Source organism: Homo sapiens, chromosome 15 (assembly GCF_000001405.40).
Source record: "Homo sapiens chromosome 15, GRCh38.p14 Primary Assembly".
Taxonomy (NCBI): Eukaryota; Metazoa; Chordata; class Mammalia; order Primates; family Hominidae; genus Homo; species Homo sapiens.
Window position 1 is genome coordinate 64,883,407 of NC_000015.10, and position 23,449 is coordinate 64,906,855.

General features: G+C 49.5%; 6 annotated features.

Annotated features, from left to right (window-relative positions):
• Positions 652-871: an enhancer, noted in NCBI's record as "active region_9585". NCBI's record gives its function as "activates an Ori minimal core promoter by ATAC-STARR-seq in GM12878 lymphoblastoid cells {active_cell/tissue: GM12878}" and the evidence as "EXISTENCE:reporter gene assay evidence [ECO:0000049][PMID:35858748]".
• Positions 10,028-10,137: an enhancer, noted in NCBI's record as "active region_9586". NCBI's record gives its function as "activates an Ori minimal core promoter by ATAC-STARR-seq in GM12878 lymphoblastoid cells {active_cell/tissue: GM12878}" and the evidence as "EXISTENCE:reporter gene assay evidence [ECO:0000049][PMID:35858748]".
• Positions 10,288-10,597: an enhancer, noted in NCBI's record as "active region_9587". NCBI's record gives its function as "activates an Ori minimal core promoter by ATAC-STARR-seq in GM12878 lymphoblastoid cells {active_cell/tissue: GM12878}" and the evidence as "EXISTENCE:reporter gene assay evidence [ECO:0000049][PMID:35858748]".
• Positions 11,138-11,187: a silencer, noted in NCBI's record as "silent region_6543". NCBI's record gives its function as "represses an Ori minimal core promoter by ATAC-STARR-seq in GM12878 lymphoblastoid cells {active_cell/tissue: GM12878}" and the evidence as "EXISTENCE:reporter gene assay evidence [ECO:0000049][PMID:35858748]".
• Positions 11,228-11,277: a silencer, noted in NCBI's record as "silent region_6544". NCBI's record gives its function as "represses an Ori minimal core promoter by ATAC-STARR-seq in GM12878 lymphoblastoid cells {active_cell/tissue: GM12878}" and the evidence as "EXISTENCE:reporter gene assay evidence [ECO:0000049][PMID:35858748]".
• Positions 11,392-11,990: an enhancer, noted in NCBI's record as "H3K4me1 hESC enhancer chr15:65186997-65187595 (GRCh37/hg19 assembly coordinates)". NCBI's record gives its function as "activates a minimal SCP1, AML or CMV promoter by ChIP-STARR-seq in naive H9 embryonic stem cells {active_cell/tissue: H9 hESC(naive)}" and the evidence as "EXISTENCE:reporter gene assay evidence [ECO:0000049][PMID:30033119]".

Sequence of the window (23,449 nt, forward strand, 5' to 3'; positions counted from 1 at the left end):
GGAGGAGGTAGGAATATGTGGCAGGGCCCTCTGGCTATACGGATCTCCCTATCTGCTGGAAACTCCACCACTAAAACCATTCCTTTGTATCATTTCCCCAGAGGGATCTTGATAATTGTGAAACGCCAAACAACTTGCCAGCCATGAGTCCCAAATCACAGCTATGAAAGTGCTTTACAGTTTATAAAGTGATTTCACAGCGAAAAATGGGTTTGCTCCTCATAACAACTATGAAAGTTAGGGCAGCAATTTAAATGTGTCCATGGAATAGATGAGGACACTGAGTGAGGCCCTGAGAGGCAGAGGAATTCCTCTGCCAATCAGAGCCCACACTTGAATACAGGTCTTTCTACTCCACATTGCATGTACCCCTGATAACTGGGAGTTGCCTTGGGAGCAGATGCTGATGGGACACAAAACAGGCAGATTTTGATAAGAAGGCAGATGATGAGGTGGAAAGGCTCTGAAGAAAGAGGTGGATGGCAGAGCTTGGCTAGAGGGGAGCAGGACTCCCCAGGGAATCGAGGATCTGGGCAGGGGAAAGGGTAGCCTGGAAGCAGGGAGAGGTGGAGGATGAGCTCTGGGAGCCAGAACCTGAATTCTGTTCCGGCCCTGTTCTGAAGCCTGAGGGGCTGGAGTGGACTTCTCCTCTAGGATCTGTCTGCCCTGTCTGCTCTGAGGACCTGCCAGCTCTCCTGGGAGGCGCTCAGGGCATCTTGTGAGCCTGTCAGCACTGACCTTGTCACGCGGCTCATGACTGCTCCTCATCCGACCTCAGATGAGTCAAGAGGGGAAGCAGGCGCAAAGGGCTTCCAGGGGATTCCCGGGATGCAGGCAGCTTGGGGCCCTAGGGGAAAGAGCCTGGGGCTCTTCAAGGCTGGGCTATGAAGCCACCCTCCTCCCAGGGTTGAGGGGCAGTCAAAATATCCCCAAACCTAATGTGATTTCTCACCTGCCAAGTGGCAGCAGTGTGGCATCGGGGCATAAAAGCTGCTAACAGTGGGGAAAGGCCTGGCCCAGTGCCAAGCAGGCTGTGGGCGTCCCTAGAAGAATGAGCAGCGCAACTACAGCAGGAGTCCCAGGCCCTGGGCAGAGAGACACCCCTTTATCGAGACCTACTACCTGCCAGGCACTTTATTTATTGGTAAATTTAATCAGATTTTGAAAACCACAAAATCTGGATACATTTGCATTGTGGTATTTGTTGTAATTGTTGGATATAATTACATATACATGCTATAAAATATAAGATAGAACTAGAACAAGAGTTCTTAATCTGGCATCTAAGGGAACCCGAAAGATCAAAGGATAGAGTTCAAGGAGTCTAAAAATTTGGAAGAGAAAAAATATATATCTTTATTTTCACTAATTTCTACCTGAATTTTAGCATTCTCTTCAACGATGAATGTAGGCAACAAACCACAGCAGTATTAGCAGGACTCGTGATGATGTCACTAGCAATTACAAATATTTTCAAATCATATAACGGTTTTTGAAGATATTTCAAAATATGGTTTATACTCATCACTATTTCAAAATTACAGCAGTTATTGGACCTATTATTAGCTCTTGATCTTCAGGCATTAATTAGGAAGCACTATCTAGTACTATGTCGAAAAATTTTTTTTAATTGTTTGATGACTACATTTTAATACAACTGGTTTTCTTTGTAAGCCTATGCTAGTTTATTTTGTGCATTTCAGAACATTATTCTGAGAAGGGGTCTGCAAGTTTTTACCAGATGACAAAGGAGGCCATGGCACACACAAAAGAGGTTAAGAACCCCTGATCTAGGTCTTCCCTGCAGTATTTTAGGATATATCCACATTTTAAAAATGTGGATTTTGGCCGGGTGCGGTGGCTCACTCCTATAATCCCAGCACTTTGGGAGGCCAAAGCAGGTGGATCACTTTAGCCCAGGAGTTTCAGACCAGCCTGGGCAACATGGCAAAACCTCATCTCTCCAAAAATTATAAAAAATTAGCCAGGCATAGTGGCATGCACTTGTAGTCCCAGCTACTCAGGGGACTGGGGTTAGAGGATTGCCTTGAGCCCAGGAGGTTGAGGCTGCAGTGGGCCATGATTGTGCCACTGCACTCCAGTCTGCTGGGTGACATGAGACCCTGCCTCAAAAACAAAAAAATAACAAAAAAAAGCCGGGCACAGTGGCTCGTGCCTGTAATCCCAGCACTTTGGGAGGCTGAGGCGGGTGGATCACCTGAGGTCGGGAGTTCGAGACCAGCCTGGCCAACATTGTGAAACCCCATTTCTACTAAAAATACAAAAATTAGCCGAGCATTGTGGTGCATGCGCCTGTAGTCCCGGCTACTCGGGAGGCTGAGGCAGGAGAATTGCTTGAACAGGGGAGGTGGAGGTTGCAGTGAGCCAAGATTGCGCCACTGGACTCCAGCCTGGGTGTGACAGAGCAAGGCTCTGTCTCAAAAAAAAAAAAAAAAAAAAAAGATTTTGATTTTTTAAAGACAATTTTCCAGTCACATCAGAAAGTTGAGTGCTGATCTGATTATTTCACTTAATTGCATAAAATTCAACTCTGTGACATCCCTGGACAGTGAGCAACCCACAGCTCCTCAGTTGAAAAGTCTTCCCCCAGAAAAGGCATATACATTGTTTAACTTAAAAGCTGCATGTTGGCCGGGCGTGGTGCCTCACGACTGTAATCCCAGCACTTTGGGAGGGCGAGGCGGGTGGATCGCGAGGTCAGGAGTTTGAGACCAGCCTGGCCAACATGGTGAAACCCCGCCTCTACTAAAAATACAAAAATTAGCTGGGCATGGTGGCAGGTGCCTGTAATCCCAGCTACTGGGGAGGCTGAGACAGGAGAATCGCTTGAACCCTGGAGGTGGAGGTTGCAGTGAGCTGAGATTGTGCCATTGCACTCTAGCCTGGGGGACAAGAGTGAGACTTTGTCTCAAAAAAAAAAAATGCATGTTTTTCTTCATACTTATGTCTAATCATCATAATTAGACAATGTCGTAAGAAGAATAGTTAAAGGACTATTCTGGCCAAGGGCCTTTTGGCCAGAAAAAAGGCTGGCGGTAGAGGGCTGGGGGAGAGGACACAAGACAGCTATCTTGTTCTTATGAAGGGCGGCCCTTACATTCCTGTGTGCAGATCTGGAAGCCCGACAAGGACTCATGGTTTGAAATCAGGACTCCAGGCCAGGCGCGGTGGCTCACGCCTGTAATCCCAGCACTTTGGGAGGCCGAGGCAGGCGGATCACGAGGTCAGGAGATCAAGACCATCCTGGCTAACACAGTGAAACCCCATCTCTACTAAAAAATACAAAAAATTAGCCGGGTGTGGTGGCGGGCACCTGTAGTCCCCGCTACTGGGGAGGCTGAGGCAGGAGAATGGCATGAACCCAGGAGGCGGAGCTTGCAGTGAGCCGAGATCGCACCACTGCACTCCAGCCTGGGTGACAGAGCAAGACTCCGTCTCAAAAAAAAAAAAAAAAAAAAAAAGAAATCAGGACTCCAGGCGAATGTCCATATAGTTTCTCTTCTCTCTTTCAGCCACTTCTCCCGGGGCCTTGGGTCCCCCTGCTGGCTCCCCTCCCTTCTATGGAGATGTGCTCTGGGAGAAAGGCCATGAGAAAGAAGCTGGTGTTGAGGACAGAGTGGCTGACCCAAAGCGGAGTTGGTTGGGATGCTGGCCAGGGGACTGCCCACAGGTGTGGTTGAGAACCCATCACCATACCTCCTTGAGTTTCAGTCTCCCCAGCTGTAAAATGAGGACAATGATATCTGCTCTTAGTTGGCAGGCACTAAATGAGATGGTAAATGAGAAAATATTTGTGGTACAAGGTCACAAGGATCAAAAACTCCCTCACACTCAGGTATAGGTGACTGATAATCCTTCAAGGATAGCTTTTCGCAGTAGGCTAAGCCATGTAAATAGAAATAACTATTTCTTTTTTTTTTTTTTTTTTGAGATGGCGTCTTGCTCTGTCACCAGGCTAGAGTGCAGTGGCGTGATCTCAGCTCACTGCAACCTCTACCTCCTGGGTTCAAGTGATTCCCCTGCCTCAGCCTCCCCAGTAGCTGGGACTACAGGCACGCACCACCACATCTGGCTTCACCATGTTGGCCAGGATGGTCTCAATCTCCTGACCTCGTGATCCACCCACCTCGCCTCCAAAAGTGCTGGGATTACAGGCATGAGCCACCATGCCTGGCCAGAAAATAACTATTTCTATGTAAATTGGGGATCAAGTCTAGGTCGAAGGACTGACTTTCTTTTCCAATGGTGAACTCCCCTTCACGTGGATGGGAGAAATAGCACAGTTTCAGAATCAAACACTTCTGGGGTTGAATCCTAGCTCCCCCATGTCCTACATCTGGCCTTAAGCAAGATGGTTCACTTCTTTGAGACTCACTTTATCATCTGTTAAGTGGGGATAATAACAGAACACACCCCCCAGTGCTGTTGTGAAGATTAAATAAAATCCTCTGTGAAGAGCACTCAGCCCAGAGGTATGGGAAGACACACCTCAAAAATGTTTATTAGGCCAGGTGTGGTGGTTCACGCCTGTAATCCCAACACTTTGAGAGGCCGAGGCAGGAGGATTGCTTGAGCCCAGGAGTTTGAAACTGGCCTGGGCAACCCCATCTCTGCAAAAAGTAAAAAAAATTAGCCAGGTGTGGTGGTGCATGCCTATAGTCCCAGCTACTCCGGAGGTTGAAGTAGGAGGATTGCTTGAGCCCAGGAAGTTGAGGCCACAGTGACCGGAGATTGTGTCAACTGCACCCCAGCCTGGATGACAGAGCAAGACCCTGCCTCAAAACAAAAAAAAGTTTATCTATATATATGATCATGATTATTCAGGATCCAAATCCTACTGAGTGAGTGAATGGGCCATGAGTAATTTAAGGTGGGCTGGGCCGCCCCAAGTGCTAGTGTAGTAAGGGGGCTGCAGGTAGATGGAAGTCCCTCCAAACCCTTCCCCCACCACAGGGCTTCCTCCTGAGAGGGAACACACTGCCCCACAGGCCCTTTTGTGTCAGGCCTTAGAGTGTGTGTACTCGGCCTCCATGATGGCCTCCTCTTCTGGAGCTGACCCCAGACCGCAGGGTCAGCTGGCAAGGGCCCTGGCTCTGTGACCTCTTTCAGTCCCTTGCGCCCAAGAAGCTCGCAGGCTGCCAGGCCCGATGCTCAGCTGCATGGAACTGGCCCCCTTGGCCAGGCCTGGAGGCCCAGGAGGGAGGGCCCCAGAGTATAGCTGCCTCCTCAGGGAGCCCCAGAGTCTCCCTCCGGTCAGATGGCTCCTCAGACAATGAGCAAGGCTGAAACTGAGCTGGACAGAGGAGAATAGGAACCAGGACCTAAAACAAGGAGCTAAAACTGAGAGCGGAAGGGCACCCACAAAGGCCAAGTGGGGAGCTTCAAGACCTCGTCAGAGCTGACTCCAGGGGCTACAGCTCACACTTCTGAGGCCTGCCTTTCCTCCTTCACACACACACACACACACACACACACCACACCAGGGCCGAGAGCTGCATGACCCCTAGAGCAGTGATCCCCAACCTTTTTGGCACGAGGGACCAGTTTCATGGAAAACACTTTTTCCATGGACCTGGGGGTCAGGGGGTGGGGGGCAGTTTCATCAGGCATTCGATTCTCATAAGGAGCGCACAACCTAGATCCCTCACAAGTGCGGTTCACAATAGGGTTCTTGCTCCTATCAGAATCTAATGCGGCTGCTGATCTGAGAGGAGGTGGAGCTCAGGCGATAATGATCGCTAGCTGGACACTGACCTCCTGCCAGGTGGCCTGGGGTTTGGGAACCCCTGCCCTAGAGGGACCAGATAGGAGGGGCCACCTCAGGAATCACCCTGTGTTTGCAAACCAGCATGGCCAGAGGCCACTATTTACTGCCACTGACCAAGGGTCCTCCAGTACTGTTTCTAAAGTTTCAGCCATTCATGTATCACTTTCCAGATTTTTGCTATTTAAACTATTATCCATTTAATATTTTCCTTTAAATCAATTCCTTTTAAAACTTAGCCTAGTCGCATCCAGACATGGTAGTTGACATCTGTAATCCCAGCACTTTGGGAGGCTGAGGTGGGTGGATTGCTTGAGCTCAGGAGTTTGAGACCAACCTGGGCAACATGGCAAAACCCAGTCTCTACCAAAAATACAAAAATTAACTGGGTGTGGTGGTGCATGCCTGTGGTCCTAGCTACTTGGGAGGCTGAAGTAGGAGGATCACTGGAGCTTGTGAAGTTGAGGCTGCAGTGAGCTGTGATTGCACCATTACACCCCAGCTTAGGTAACAGAAAAAGACCCTGTCTCAAAAAAAAAAAAAAAAATTAAAAAACAAACAGGCCAGGTGTGGTGGCTCATGCCTGTAATCTCAGTACTTTGGGAGGCCAAGGCAGGTGGATCACTTGAGGTCAGGAGTTCAAGACCAGCCTGGCCAACATGGCAAAACACCGGCTCTACTAAAAATACAAAAATTAGACAGGCATGGTGGCAGGCGCCTGTAATTCCAGCTACTTAGGAGGTTGAGGCAGGAGAATTGCTTGAACTCGGAGGTTGCAGTGAGCCAAGATTATGCCACTGCACTTCAGCTTGGGTGACAGAGCAAGTCTCTGTCTCAAAAAATAAAAATAATATAAATAAAAAACAAAAAACTTAGCCTAGTCACAGGGCATAATTTCTGTGAAATCATGAATTTGATGAGTTTATTAATTTTGTCCTGACTTATATTTGGATCAATATATTGTTGAAGTAATGATAATTTTATTTTTTAAATTTTGTATATTTATTTATGTTAGAGACAGGATCTCACTGTTGCCCGGGCTGGTGTGCAGTGGCGTAATCATAGCTCACTGTAGCCTTGAACTCCTGAGCTCAAGCAATCCTCTCACCTCAGCCTCCCAAGTAGCTGGAACTACAGGCATGCCCCAACACACCTGGATAATTTTTAAGATACTCTTGTAGAGACAGGGTCCTGACCTCAAGCAACCTTCTGCCTTGGCTTCCCCAAAGTGTTGGGATTACAGGTGTAAGTCACCATGTCCGGCTGTAATAATCTTAAAACCAATTCAACCACATATCACCTAAACTCACCTTGTGGACTGTATTTTTTTAATTAAAAATTTGTGGTTATTTATTTATTTATTTATTTTATGTATTTATTCTTTTTGAGATGGAGTCTCGCTCTGTCGCCCAGGCTGGAGTGCAGTGGCGCGATCTCGGCTCACTGAAACTTCCACCTCCTGGGTTCAAGTGATTCTCCTGCCTCAGCCTCCCGAGTAGCTAGGATCACAGGCGTGTGCCACCATGCCCGGCTAATTTTTGTATTTTTAGTAGAGACGGGGTTTCACTATGTTGGCCAGGCTGGTCTTGAACTCCTGACATCAGGTGATCTGCCCGCCTTGGCCTCCCAAAGTGCTGGGATGACAGGCATGAGCCACTGTGCCCAGCCTAATTTTTAAAATTTTTAGAGGGGTCTCTCTATGTTCCTCAGGCTGGCCTTGATCTCTTGGGCTCCAGCAATTCTTCTTTAGCCTCCCAAGTAGCTGGGACTATAGGCATGGGCCACCATAGTCTGGCTCTAGGTTTTAAATTCATCTTGGGGTCCACATTTTGGGAAACCACTCAGTGGAGAGAACAAAGATTTTGGGGGTTATACCATACAGGTCTCACTACTTTCTAGCCGTGTTACCTTGGGAAAGTAATTTACCTCTCTGGGCTTCAGTTTTCTTTTCTGTAAAATGGGATCCTCTCACAGCTGTGGTGGGAAATGGGAGTGAGTACTGAGGATGGCCTTGGCCATAGTAGCTTTCTTCCTTCTCCTGGATCCTCCCTCCATCCCAGCAGAGTAACTTTGCCTGGAAGCCTGGTCTCTCTAGCTTTCTTCCTAACCACAGGGAGCTATTGCATTTCAGGGTATCTTACTCTAAAGGCATGCTGGGAGGAGGTGAGCACTCCTTTGCTACCTGTCCTGGAGTTGACCAAGCCCAGGGGGAAGTGCCTCCTGGTGTCCAGCCTAAGTCCCCTTGCTGCAAAGTCAGTTCCTGCTCTTGTGTTCTGTTCTCAGTGGATGTGGGAATTAGTTAGAGACCCTCCTCAGAGGGGCAGCCTGATGATATGGAAAGGCTTATAGGACGCTGGGTTCAATCCTGGCACTCCCACTGTCTTGCTGTATGCCCTTGAGTGGGTACTCAATGCCTCTCTCTAGGTGTGGGTTTGCTCATCTGTAAAATGAGGAGGCCAGTTTTGACTGTGAACCCAGCCCTCTTCCCCACTTCCCCTCTCCCATTGCAGATGGGATGGGTAGAAGGGGCAGGGGCTCCTGCCTTTTCCTACTGAGCAACTAATTTGTGTTTCTCCTCTGGTCAAGGATGTGGGAACTGGGAGGGAGCAGGGCAGTGTGGGATGGTGGAGGAGAAGAAGTTGCTGATGAGAGTGGGAGGCTGGCTGCCACTAAGCCCTTCCCTACTGGAAACTCCTTCCCTGTCCCCTCCCCCAGACAACCTCAGGAAAGGGTCTAGGTGTTTCCACAGTGGTCTAGGAAGGGCTAGACCAATGTGGAGTGGACGACATGCCTGGTGTCTCCCTCTGGAGAGTGCACTCTGGATACTAATCTGAGTCTCCAAAAAGGAGAAAGGGTTAGGGATCATTTGGTCTCACCTTCCCTCCTGCTTTTACAGAAAGGGAACCAGAGAGGTATAGTGACTTGTTTATGTCATGCAGTGACTTGACAGCACAGTGGGACATGAACTTGGAGTCTTGGATGTGCAGTCCTGATCTTGCTCCCAGCACTGCTCAGGGAAGACATTCTTCCTGCTCTGCCTTCCCACCTCTCCTCCCAGGCTCCTGTGATCCCCACAGGGAGAGCTAGAGCTTCTATAAAAACTGCTGTAATTGATTCTTAACAGGAAGTGAGGGCTTTTTCACTTTGAGTTGACAACCACAGCAGCTACACACACACACACACACACACACACACACACACACACAAACACACACACAAACACAGACATACAGTTAAGGTTTAAATATCTGTCCCCTCTGAAACTCATGTTGAAACTTATTCCCCAATGTGGCAGTAGTGAAAAGTGGGATCTTCAAGAGGTGATTGGGCCATGAGGACTCTGCCCTCATGAATAGATTAATTCATTCATGGATTAATGGATTAATGGGTTCATGGATTAATGGGTTATCACGGGAATTGGACTGTTGGCTTTATAATAAGAGGAAGAGAGATCTGAGCTAACATGCTCAACCCCATCACCATGTGATGCCCTTCAGGGCCTCAGGACTCCGCAGAGTCCCCACCACCAAGAAGGACCTCACAAGGTGCAGCCCTTCAACCTTGGACTTCTCATTCTCCAGCACTGCAAGAAAGAATTCCTTTTCTTTATAAATTACCCAGTTTCAGGTACTCTGTTACAAATAACAGAAAACCGACTAAGACACACACACCCCAAGTTTGTACACAACCATGTGCACACACACAGTCACTTGCCCATACTCCTACGCATTCAGGCACCCAGCTGGGAACACAGCGTGCCTTTCTTTCTAGTGCCACAAGATACCCATTTATAGGCTTCCAGCTTGTGCCCTCTGACCTGCCTTACATTTTGATAGTAGAGGGTGGATTTGAGGGGGAAGAGCAGAGACCACAAGACCAGGCAGGGTTTCCTCAGTGGCTGCACTGCAGGGATTCAATGGGCAGCAAAGGCCCCCACACCCCAGGCTGGGCCTCATGGCTGAGACTCATCAGTCTTGGGCCTGGAGGGGCTGCTCTCAGTCTAACAGGCCTGACTGACAGGGAAACCACCAATTTGTCATTGGGTTCCAATCCCGAGTAGCTGGGATTACAGGCGTGCGCCATGACGCCTGGCTAATTTGTTTTGTATTTTTAGTACAGATGGGGTTTCACCATATTCGCCAGGCTGGTCTCAAACTCCTGACCTCAGGTGATCTGCCCGCCTTGGTCTCCCAAAGTCCTGGGATTACAGCCGTTAGCCACCTCACCCGGCCAGACAAATGTTTGTTGCATGAATGTCTTGCCCCTCACATCTGTGTTCCGTCCAGCCTTCCTCGCCTCTCCTTTTTCTTGGTGCCCTGGCTGTGGCCACAGTACTTTCCTAGGAGGAGGCCTATGCAGGCGCGTAAGGAACTCGGTGAAGGAGTCAGGGCCCCCAACTCGGCTCTCGCGAGCTTGCTGTGTGACCTCAGGCCAGTCACCTCCCCTCTTCTGGCCTGGGTTTCCACACCTGCACAATGGGAACAGCAACCTCAGCTGCCTGCCGTCTCTGACGTGAGGGCCAAATAAGAAAAGGTGAGAAGCTGGTCGCAAAGCGGTAAAAAAAGCCTTCAGCGCCGAAGCCGGGGAGGAAGCCGCTGATGAAGCTATTGCTGAGAAGTGTGAAGCCCCCACCCGAGGATCCGCTTTTGAAGAGGGACCCGGGGAACGCGTAGGGGGAAACTGCCTTCCTCTTCCCTCAGTGGAAAGGGCTGTGCTCATGTCACTGTGAAACGAAGCTATTTTTATGTAGTACAACTGCGATTATGACAGGGCCTCTTCCTGAAGGGGAAGGGTGGGGAGGAGACCTGAGTCATCAGTGGGGCGGCCGGCCCCACAGGCTGACACAGGCAGCTTGTGGAAACCAGGCCCCCCGCCCTGCCTTCCGCAGGTAGAGGCCCCAGAGAGGGGAAGGGGCCGACCACCTGCTCCCGAGCCATTCTCGGGCTCGGCCAGCCATTGGGCTGGGAACCTGTCAATCCTGGTTGATCTTCCAATGAGCTGTGAACTGGTCTTCCGGGAGGACTTACAGGAGGCTGGAAACGGGGCCTGGCGCGCGCTTCCCTCTCAGTGCGAGGCTGACTGGTTGGACTCGCCGGGCTCTACTGTGGGCCCCACGCTATGTTTAGACGCCCGACGTGTCCCATTTTATTGAACTCGTCCTGCCCCCCAAGTAGGGACGATTTACCTCCATTTTCTAGATAAGGCACTGGGGGCTCCGCGAGGGGATGTGGCGGACTGGAGCCCAGCTGCACTCCTGACGGGACTGAATGCGGGGCTGAGGGAGGCAACAGGAAGAATGAGTATTTTCTTTACTGGAAGGGCAGGGAAAGGTTTCTCTCAGAAGGTGACATTTGAGCTGGGCCCTAAACAATGAGCAGGATTTAGCTGTCTTGAGGAGGGGGAGAGGGAAGGGCATGTGACCCGGAAAGGATGCAGCCTGGGCAAAGGCAGGGAGGTGTGCATGGCTTGTTTGGGGGTGTCGAGCAGGTCGGGGGGGCTGGGTGGGGAGTGGCCGCGGGGCGTAGGTAGGGGAGGGCCTGGCATGACAGGCTAAGGGGTGTAGGCTCCTTGGGGTTCCTTCAGCGCTGTGCAAGCCCTGAGCATCCTCCCAGAGGTGTGGCCCTGCAGAGAGAGGGGAGGGAGCCCACTGGGGGAGGCGAGCTGAAGGAGTGGCCTGTCAGGTGGGTTTCCTGCCCTGGAGCCTGAGCTCAGGCAGTGGCTGCCGTGCCCCGCCGCCGCCCTCTTCTGCCGCCTCCTCCACGCCAGCACTTTTGCATGCAGTACTCCCTTCAGTCGTCACAGCCACCTGCAAGGTGAATATTACCACCTTTATTTCATAGGGGAGGTAACAGGTTTAGAGAGGTTAGAGGAGCCGCCCCAGGTCACACAGCCCCTCTTGATATTCTTCAACAAAAGAATCCTCTCTGACCCCTGCTCTCAGTCAACGGAACAACCAACAACCTCCTTCCTTCAGAGAAATAGGGACCCTGAGGCTGCAACCCAACTGTAATCATCTGCCTCCAGGCACCCTCTGCACAGACTCAGCTGTTAAATATAGATGGCCGCTTAGAGATCCTTTTGTTCTCTTTACATATTACAGATGGGGAAACTGAGGCCTAGTGAGGAAGAGACTTGCTTGGGGCCCCACAAATGGACCTAGATTGGCGAGCCTCTTTTGAGCCAGAGTCTCACTGGGGTTCTAGCCCAGCTGGGAAGTTGAGCAAAGAGGGATAAGTGGGTTACAGCTCAAGGACTGGGGGTGCCTTGGGGCTTCTAGGAGATGAGAGCCGAAAGGCATTCAGCCCTTTAACCCCACTCCAGAGCTTCAGACTGTTCCTTCTCAAGACACTTTACTGCCATCTGTCTGAAAAGTGTGCTAATAAATATGCAAATTTTGGTGACTTGAGAGGACTGGTGTCCTCTTGAGTTGTACAGGGCACAATTTGCAGATTTGTGAGTGATCACCAAGCCCCGAAGATGCAGCGAGGTCTCTGGCAACTCCCTTTCTCAGTCCCTTCTCTATTCCTCTCTTCTTCTTTGTCCCTCTCAGACTGGGACTGGGGGTGGGGGCAGGGGGGGGATTTCCTACTAGGGTGGGAGGAAGAAGGGTGAAGGAAGTAGGGTAGGAGGAGGGGAAGTGTGGAGGACAACAGAGGGAAAGGGTAGAACTTATTTCTGCTGTCAGAAACCGAAACCAAAAGTCCTGGCAGGAGTTAATGTGAGAGGGAGGTCTGTAGCAAGAGGCTGAGGAGCAAAGCCTTCACATCTGAGGACAGCAGCCCTGTCAGAGACACCCTGGCTGCAACCTCGGTGTCACTTAGACCAGGGCTTGCCTCTCATGCTGACAAGAAGCATGCAAAGGCAGTCTGTTTTCTCTGGGGATACCAAAGGCCCCTCCAGACCTTACAGTGCCCAGCACTGGTGTTAGGATCACTGCTGGAAAGGGGAGGGGGCACTAACTCAAGTCACCATGTCATCTAATAGCCCAAGAGTGGGTGACCCTTTGTCTTGTCTGGTATTAGTCTGTGTGGACCTGCATACACCCATGAGGCTGAGGCTGGGGGCAGCCGGCATCTGTGTGTCTAGCATAATGGGGATCCTCTTTCCCCAAGTCAAGCTTAGGACGTGTGGTATAACATAGATTTTTGTGATCCACCTGGCTGTGAGAGGTCATTTAGGTGCCACAATAATGGATTCTTTGGGGCACTTCATACTCTATTATAACAATAGGAGAAAATGTTTGCAACTTGGACTTGTCTTTTAAAATTCAGATTGTGTGGCCACTATTTCTTGTGAACTTTGTGATTCAACGAGCCAATTGTGTACTGGGAACCCAGATGGTGCCCCTCCCTTGAGGCTTGCTGGGTCCTCTGTGTAGGGATAGACTCTGTTCCGGGCGCCGTGGCTCCCAGTTCCAGACTGGCAGCCCTTTGAGCGGCTGAAACTTTAATTCATCTTTGTATCTCCCATGATGATAGGAACCTCCTGTCTCCTCAGGGGTTCTCAGAGTGTGAGTTTCTGGCTTCTCCATTCATCCCTCTGAGGCTGACATATCTGTGCTGGCTTCACAGAGGCAGAGAAGAATGGGGAGCATGCAGGGGAGGTGGACTGATGGATCAGGGCACAGGGGAACCTGGCTCCACCATTTCCCAGCCCTGAGGCCTTGGACAAGTTACATTTCTGAGTCTCAGTTTCTTCATCTGTAAATGGGGATGATTTAAATAGTTGACTTTTACTGAGCATGTTCTCTGGGTCAGGCACTGCGTTAAGCATATTGCAGGCAGACTTATTCAGAAAGCATTTATGAGGGCCTCCAATGTGTAAGGAACACCACAGTGTCAGAAGGAGAGGCTTGAAGAAGATAGGTGACTGGCCAAGGTCACATGCAGGTGAAGGAGTGGCAGAACTTGTACCCCAGAGCCCACTCTTATAACGAGCCCTCTGTATTGGATGGCCCCAGCAGACCCGAGAGGACAGGCCAGTGGAGAGCTCAGCATGGAGTCAGGTGGGGGAGACTCCTCTGTTCTCAGTGGAGGCCAGGCCCAGCTGTCCTGGAAGGAGCTAGAAGCCTGAATTCAGGTTGTGGAGCAGTGAGAGTCCAGCCCCACACAGGATGCCATGGGAGGAGGCCCTTCAAACCGGGATTCTGAAAGAACACATCCAATAGAAGGGGCAAGGGCTGCTGAGGGCCCTGAGGAGGGGGCGTGGGCTACCCATGAGCAGGCCCTTCACTCGTGGCCTCAGCTGCCCCTGCAGAAGGCTGGAGCCTGAGAGGAAGCCAGCCAAGTGAGCGGTGGAGGAGGAAGCTGGTCACATTCAGTTCTGGCTGACTCACGGGATCTGGGCTGAAGGACATATGTCTGGGAGTGCCCCAGAAAATATCTCACTGATATGGGAGATTTACTGGACTGCCTTTGGGGATTAGGCGTAGCCTCCCTTCCCTGCACCCCAGGGAGTGAATCCACTTCCCCACCCCTACCAGTGACCTCAGGCAGATGGCCCCAGGTAGAGAAAGCTGTGATTTGGTCAAGGACTCCTCTTGGCAGAGGCTGGCAGACCTCTAGGCCAGCCAGAGGAGATGGGCCTGCAGTGCACAGCCCCAAGGACTGGACACGTGTACACACAGCACCCAGAGGGACAGGATGTGAGGGCCAGGCTGGGCAGATGCAGGGAAGCCTTGAAGCCACCCTTGCTCTTCTCCTCTACACCCCAAGTCCTCAGTCAACCCTGTTGGCTCCAGCTCCACAGTACAAGCCTCTTCTGGTTCCTTTCCCACTGTCTTTTGAGCCTCCCCTTTACCAGCCTCCCTGCTTCTACCCTTGACCCAGAGTCTGTTCTCAACACTGCAGCCAGAGTGATAGTGTTAAAGATCACATCACTTCTGGGTTCATTCCAGTGGGCCGTCATCCACCCCAACTTCACCAAGAGCAAATGCCAAGCCCCCACCTCCCAAAACATACCTCTTAGATACTATTTCCTACTCCTCTCCCCATTCCTCACTCTGCAACAGCCACTCTGGCTTTCTTGCTTTTTTTCAAATAGCCCAGGCACAGCCTCCCACCCCAGGCCTTTGTACTGTCAGTTCCCTGTGCCCTGAACACTCTTTTCTTAGACATCGGCATGGCATACCACCTTACTGCCTTCCAGCCTGCTCAAATATCACTGTATTTCTCAGCATTCAAATTAGCATTATTTCAGGACTATTTTCAAAGGTGTGGACAGGCTGTAAGGAAACCCTAAGGGAGAGTGCAGTGCCCAGGTTCAGTAGCATGGGGCATTTTTGCTACTCCCAGGCCTGGCAGAAGGGCGAGGAGGAGGGAAAGACATGGCTGGTGGAAGGAAGGACAGAATTGTGGGAGAGGGCCACCTGACCAGAGCTGTGACCTGCAAGGAGGGAGCCAGGGGGATAAAAACCTCCCCCGCCTGTCTAAGCTCTCCTGCGAGGCTCATTGGCTGAATCCAGCCAGAGCCAGGACACAGTCCTTCAGGTCAGCCTTTTCTGGGGATCTGGAGGGCAAATGGAAGTTCCCTAGCACGGTTGCTTTCTTGGGAAATGTGACTGCTCCCCACCCCCAACTCCCAAGTCCTCTTACCTTGCCCTGTTTTTTCCCCATGGCACTTTTCTTCTAACATATTTACATATTATGATTATTTTTATTGTCTGTTAGCTCCAGGAGGGTAAGAATTTCAGTCTCTGTTATTTTTTGTTGTACCCCAAGTATCTAGAACACTGACTGGCACATTGTTGACAATAATTGTTGAATAAACAAATGCCTACTCAATCTCTCTGGGCATTTTGGGGAAAGCCTTTGGTGCCCAACTGGGCCCCTGCCTGGGGAAGGAGTGGGTTGATGCTGCAGACTGGGGTTCCAGGATTGGAGAGAAGCCAGCAGAGCCCCAGCTGGGAAGGAAGGAGAGCCTGCAGGGCTCTGCCCACAGCAGCCGCCCATTCCTGTGGCTCCCACAGCAGATCCCTGCCACTCTCCAAGGCTGTGACTTTGAGACTGGTAGGATTTTCCTTGGCAAATGCATCACTCTGCTCGGTCTCTCCAACAAGGCACCACTATGTGAAATCTCCTACCTCATGAATTAGCTCTTTGAAGGCACATCTGGTGCCTTTCCTGGGCCTCTAAGGAATGTTTTCTTCAAGGAGTTCTGGACTCACCCTGCAATGGAAAGTCCAGGAGTTGTAGGCTTGGGGGCTGTGTTCTGAGCCTCCCTGACAAGGCCTTGGATTCCTAGGTACATGGCATTGTGGGGCTTGTCTGACCCCAGGGCTGTCCTTGGTTCATTCTTGGGCTCCTTCCCTCAAAGGTGCCCAGGAATGCTGGGGACTTCCTGAGATGGCACCATCATCCCCTCACTAAGACTTGATGTCCTATGGGAGTGAAGACTCAAAACAACACAAAGCCCAGCCTTGTACTCCAGTTGTAAGGTTGTGCATTTTCTTAAATGGATCTATAAACTGAAAGTGATTTAAATCAAAACAATAGGATTTGAGGAGGGTGCCTTGGAAAATAATATTAATCTGGAAAAATAAACATTTGAGACTAGCAGGAAAATTCTGAAAAACAACAGGAACACACTACATAAAATCCAGAGTCTCGGCCGGGCACAGTGGCTCACGCCTGTAATCCCAGCACTTTGGGAGGCTGAGGTGGGTGGATCACGAGGTCAGCAGATTGAGACCATCCTGGCTAACACGGTGAAACCCCATCTCTACTAAAAATACAAAAAATTAGCCAGGCACGGTGGCGGGTGCCTGTAGTCCCAGCTACTCAGGAGGCTGAGGCAGGAGAATGGCGTGAACCCAGGAGGCAGAGCTTGCAGTGAGCGGAGATCGTGCCACTGCACTCCAGCCTGGGCGACAGAGCGAGACTCCGTCTCAAAAAAAAAAAAAGAAAATCCAGAGTCTTGCTCTGTCGCCAGGCTGGAGTGCAGTGGCGCGATCTCCACTCACTGCAACCTCCACCTCCTGGGTTTAAGTGATTCTCGTGCCTCAGCCTCCCCAGTAGCTGGGATTACAGGCACACACCACCACACCCAGCTAAATTTTGTATTTTTAGTAGAGATGGGGTTTCACCATGTTGGGCAGGATGGTCTCAATCTCCTTACCTTGTGATCCACCTGCCTTGGCCTCCCAAAGTGCTGCGATTACAGGCGTGAGCCACTGTGCCTGGCCAAAATCCAGAAATCTTAAAGTAAAAGGTTGATAATTTGAACCTGTAAAAATTTAAAACCTAAATTGAGAAAATTGTCAAAAAACAAAGTCAAAAGTCCACACACTGTGGAAAACTATTTGTAACATAATATCAGATAAAAGCTACTCAGGAGGCTGAGGCAGGGGAATTGCTTGAACCCAGGAGGCAGAGGTTGCAGTGAGCTGAGATCATGCTACTGCACTCCAGCCTGCCAACAGAGCAAGACCCTAGCTCAAAAAAAAAAAAAAAAAAAAAAGCTACTCTTTTTAATATATACATTTTATAAATCAATATAAAAAAGTCCAACCAAATTTTAAAATGGGTAAAATATATAGACAGACAATTCACAAGAAAAAATAAAATTTAATGAACAGCAAATACGTGAAAAGATACTTACCTTCACCCATAATTAAAGAAATGCATGAAAGAATGACAATGAAATACAGTACCATTTTCAGCTGCTAGATCAGCATGAATTGAAGTGTTTTACAATGTATGGTGTTGGTGAGGGTGTGGGGAAGGACAATCTAGTGCATCATTGCTGGGAATGTAAATTGACCAATATTTTGGAGGGCAATTTGGAAATAACTATTATGGTAGAGTAAAAGTGGTCACAAGTTCTCTGATGTGCCTTCCATGGAGAGGTGGGGTCTATGTCCCCTTTTCTTGAATTTGGGTTGGACCGTGAATTCCCTGGTCAATAAAATACAGCAAGTGATACTGTCTCAGTTGCAAGTGTATCCCTTAGATTGTCCAGCAGGTTCCATATCCTCCCTCTTGGAAGCCAACTACCTGGTTACCTGACCTGCATTATCTAATGTTCACATGCTGTAAAAAGCCCAAACCATGTGGGGAATCCCTACAGGATATGACACCACATGTTTAAAGAGCAGTCAAGGAGCACTGAGGCCCCAGTCATGTGAGCGATGAAGCCACCTTGGAAGAGAATCACAGATGAACCATCCGGCTGAGCCCTTCCCAAAATCCCTGACCCACAAAATCATGAACAATATAAAATATTTTTTTTTTTTTTGAGACCGAGTCTCACTCTGTTGCCCAGGCTAGAGTGCAGTGGCATGATCTATGCTCACTGCAACCTCCAGCTCCCTGGTTCAAGCGATTGTCCTGCCTCAGCCTCCCGAGTAGCTGAGATTACAGGTGCACACCACCATGCCCAGCTAATTTTTGTATTTTTAGTAGAGAAAGGGTTTCACCCTGTTGGCCAGGATGGTCTCAATCTTCTGACCTCGTGTTCTGCCCGCCTCGGCCTCCCAAAGTGCAGGGATTACAGGCGTGAGCCACCACACCTGGCCAAAATGGTTGTTTTTGAGCACTAAATTTTGAGATAGTTAGTTATATAGCAATAGATATCTGGAACATCTATTCAAATTTAAATGTACCCATTGATCCAGCAATTGCACTTTTATGAATCTAAGCTACTGAAATAGTTGTACAGGTGCACAAAAACATACACACAAAGTTCATTGCAGCACTGTTTATAATAGCACAAGACTGGAAATAATCTCTATGTCTATCATTAGGGTGATGGCTAAATGAATTCTAGTATATCTAGCTAATGATATACAGTACGCCAGCTGAAATTCTGAGACAAGGAAAAGTCCCATTTGAGGTCCTGTGAGCCTAGGGTGATATAACACAGTGGTTAAGGGCAGAGAACCTGGCTTTGCCATTTACTGTCTGTGTGAATTTGGGGAAGTCACCTGTCTATACCACAATTTCCTCATCTGTAAGATGTGGAGGATAATCATAGTACCTACTTCAGAGGGCTGTGGTGAAAAATAAACAAGTTAATATGACAATATGATATATATCTGTGCTATATGTATTTTGAAGATTTTTTTTTTTTTTTGAGATGGAGTCTTGCTCTGTCACCCAGGCTGGAGTGCAGTGGCGTGATCTCGGCTCACTGCAACCTCCTCTTCCTGGGTTCAAGCCATTCTCCTGCCTCAGCCTCCCCAGTAGCTGAGATTACAGGCACACACCAACACGCCCAGCTAATTTTTGTGTTTTTAGTAGAGATGGGGTTTCACCATGTTGGCCAGGCTGGTCTCGAACCCCTGACCTTGTGATCCACCCACCTTGGCCTCCCAAAGTGCTGGGATTACAGGTGTGAGCCACCGCGTCTGGCCGTATTTTGTAGATTGAAGGGCTTGGAATTTTAAATTGAGTTGGACCAGACTTTTAATATCCTAAAATGATTGCAAAGCATAGTATCTGCCAGATTGTCATCTGGGGACAGGAAGGGAAATTTGACTGATGAAGATGTGAACATAGGCCATGTGTGGTGGCTCACGCCTGTTATCCCAGCACTTTGGGAGGCTGAGGCAGGTGGATCACTTGAGGTTGGGAGTTTGAGACTAGCCTGACCAAAGTGGAGAAACCCTGTCTCTACTAAAAATACAAAATTAGCTGGTTGTGGTGGCATATGTCTATAATCCCAGGTACTTGGGAGGCTGAGGCAGGAGAATCGCTTGAACCCAGGAGGTGGAGTTTACAGCGAGCAGAGATCATGCCATTTCACTCCAGCCTGGGCAACAAGAGCAAAACTCCATCTCAAAAAAAAAAAAAAGTGATGATAGTGGCAGGAGAATGTTTTTAAAGAAATGGACTCATATTGTACTTCCTGTTCTGACTCTTGCTGTCTCTTAGAGATTCTTCCTACCTCAGCAAATACAGACCCACTAATTTCTTTTTAACAGCTGCTCAGCATTGCATTGTATGATTTTATAATCATGCATCACAATTTATTTTGTCATCCCCTATTGATGGGCCCTTGGGTTGTTTCCAATTGTTTGCTATAGTTACGGAACAGATCGCAGTAGACATCCTTGCATCTTTATGTAATTACTGCAATTATTTCTATGGTGTAGATTCTTAGAAATGGAGTTGTTGGCATGAAAGGTATGTACATTTAAAAAATTCTGATAGCCATTGTCAAATTGTTTCAGTATCTGGTCCCATCTTTCCCTCCACTGCTCTTTGTTTTCATAACATTGCTGTCTGTTTTTATTGTTGTTGTTGTTTTAAGATAAACTTTAGTATCATTTTGCCAAGTCTTATCAGGCTGTAGTTTTGAATGAGTACAGGGATGAATTAGCTACCACATCTGCCTTGACAAGTTCAGTTGGCCAGGCGCTGTGACTCACGTCTGTAACCCCAACACTTTGGGAGGCTGAGGTGAGAGGATTGTTTGAGCCCAGGAGTTCAAGACCAGCCTGGGCAACATAGGGAAACCTCATTTCTGCAAAAAAAAAAAAAAAAAAAAAAAAAAAAAAATTAGCTATGCGTGTTGGCACATGCCTGTGGTCCCAGCTACCTGGGAGCCTGAGGTGGGAGGATCGCTTGAGCCCTGGAGATAAGGCTGTGATAAGCCATGATCTTGACACTGTATTGCATTCCAGCCTGGGTGACACAGTGAGACCTTGTCTCAAAAATAAATAAATTTAAAAAAAGTTCATAGTATGGCAGGGATTGGGGTTGGGAGGGTGCTTTAGTGGGAGCTGGAGCAGAAGGTGACAGCTGCAAAACAGTTACTTGCATCTAGGCCAGGGATACCACGGAAGGCTTGACCATGGGTTCTGGGAACCCTCAGGAAAGGGGCATTTTGAGTTTGGAGCAATCTGGGAGCCCTCTACAGAGGAGGTTTCATGCCTAGTCTTTGTAGTGGTTACAGAGCACTTTCTAGAACAACAACTGATTGAATTCTCACAATAGCCCTTTGCATATAGGTAGTGTTATTATCTCCACCTTCCAGATGAGAAAACAAGTCTGGAAGATGAAGGTCTTGCCTGACTCCAGCCTGCCAGCTCTTAGGTGCCTTTTCCTTTTCTCTTTTCCTCGCTTCCCAAGCATCTCTCCCTGACCCCCAACCTCCTGTCCCCCAACTTGAGCCTCACTGGCTGGGCTGGCAGAGCCCTGGGCAGAGGGCATGCTCAATGACACTGCACATGGCTGTGCTACCTTCTTAGAGAGGACACACATCCGGTGCATTGGGCTTTCACAACAGGCTGCACCCTGTCCCTGCTCTGGGACCCAGATCACAGAACTGCCTCACCCCTCAACCCAACAACACCAGGTCATCTTATCCTTTCTCCAGGCAAACACCTCTCTCCCTTCTGCCTGTTAACCTAAAAAAATCACGGGAACAGAAAACCAAATACCGCCTGTTCTCACTTATAAGTGGAAGCTAAATGATGATAACTTATGGACACAAAGAAGGGAACAACAGACACTGGGGCCTACTAGAGGGTGGAGGATGGGAGGAGGGAGAGAATCAGGAAATATCACTACCAGGTACTTGGCTTAGTACCTGGGTGATGAAATAATCTGTACAACAAACCCCCATGACACAAGTTTACCTATGTAACAAACCTGCACATATAGCCCTGAACCTAAAACAAAAGTTAAAAAAAAAAAAAAAAAAAAAAAAAAGAAGGCCGGGCGCGGTGGCTCACGCCTGTAATCCCAGCACTTTTGGAGGCCGAGGCGGGCGGATCACGAGGTCAGGAGATCGAGACCATCCTGGCTAACATGGTGAAACTCCGTCTCTACTGAAAATACAAAAAGAAATTAGCCGGGCATGGTGGCGGGCGCCTGTAGTCCCAGCTACTCGGGAGCTTGAGGCAAGGGAATGGCGTGAACCCGGGAGGCGGAGCTTGCAGTGAGCCGAGATCGCGCCACTGCACTCCAGCCTGGGCGACAGAGTGAGACTCCGTCTAAAAAAAAAAAAAAAAAAAAAAAAAGACCTTTAGAATTTCATTTGGGTTAAATATTGCCCCCTTCCTGCAGCTTTTTAAGATGCGCATTCCTCTAACGGGAATCCATAGTAATTCCCTACTTTCTTTGCGAAAGTTATTGGATCTTTTCCCTCATTAGAAAGGCCCGAGTATGTCTGGGAATTAAACTGCCACTCAACCCCACATTTACTTACATCTTTACCACCGCGTCTATTCCTCTCTCACCCCGCCCCCATGGCCCAAGTCTTTAGCCTGGCATTCACGTACCCTCACTGGCAATCTTGGGGAAAGCCTCAGAAAATGGTACAGCAGAAAGCCCAGCGTGGAGGAGCCAGTTGGGAGACTCAGCATGTGGGCACCCTGCTTCTCTGCGCAGAGCCTCCTCTGTCATAGGTAGATCCAGCCCATCTCAGGTTACACTACAGTCTGTAACCCCTAGCCTCTCCCTCCTCGCGCCCCTCTGGCCTCCATCACTGTCGTGCCGGTCGTGGGGACAGATGGGAGGGAATTACGGTATTTACAGCTGCTCTTCGCCGGCTCTTGCTCCCCCGCGTGTCGACAACCGAAACTGCAGCGAGGCCCAGAGGCCTCTGCCCACTCCCCTCGGAGTTCCAGGAGGACGCTAAGCGCGAGAAGCCAGGCTCAGGGAAACTGAACGCCCATACGCTCCTAGTCCCTCTCACCTGGATCCTCTGCGTCAGGTTACGTGCTTGCGCTATTTTTCCTTTTGTTTCTTTAAATTTTTTTTGTAGAGACAGTGAGCGTGTGTGTGGGGGGGTGGAAGGGTAGGTCTCACCATTTTGCCCAGGCCGGTCTCGAACTCCTGGGCTCAAGCCTTAGCCACCTGCCTTAGCCTCCCAAAGTGCTGGGACTACAGGTGTGAGCCACCACGCCCAGCCTGTTTGCGCTGTTTTCTGAGGCTTTCCGCCAAATTGCTTTCTTTCCTGGCAAGAAAGTCACGCCCTAGAATTGGGGTGTCCCAGTGGACTGGCCGGGTGGTTGGATTGAAGGATGTCCTCCAACCTCACCTTCAGCTGTGGCCTGGCTGGGGACCCAGCACGTGGTTCAATGCCATGGGAATCACCTGTTTCTCCTTTGGAGCGAGTCACACCTGGAGGCCATTCTCAACTCTCCACAGCTTGTTGTATGTCCCTGAGTGAAGTATTAACCTCTCTGAATCTCAGGTGCCTCCTCCGTACAGTGGAGCTTCCATATTCTAGCATTTGCCTCACAGAGTTGTCAATATGATTACATGGGATAGTATAGGTTGCAGGTGGAGAGCTGGAGGATAATCACCGCCACCACACTAGGGCACTCATTGTGTGCCTGGGCCTAGGCATTTTGAAATAGCCCTATTAAAAAAGGATCATCCACAGATAAATTGAAGGTCAGAGAGATTTAGTGATTGCATGGGGTCACACAGCCGAGCTAGGACTGGACTCAGAAAGACATGGATACACAAGTGCTGGGAGATGTGGGTGGAGTCTGAGGTCTGTGAGTTTATAGCAGGTGTCCCCAACCCCCGGGCAGGACCAGTATGGGTTTGTGGCCTGTTAGCAATGGGGCTGCACAGCAGGAGGTGAGCAGCAGGCATTACTGTCTGAGCTCTGCCTCTTGTCAGATCAGCAGAGGCATTAGATTCTCATAGGAACATGAACCCTATTGTCCCCACATGCGATAGGTTGCTGCACTCCTTATGAGAATCT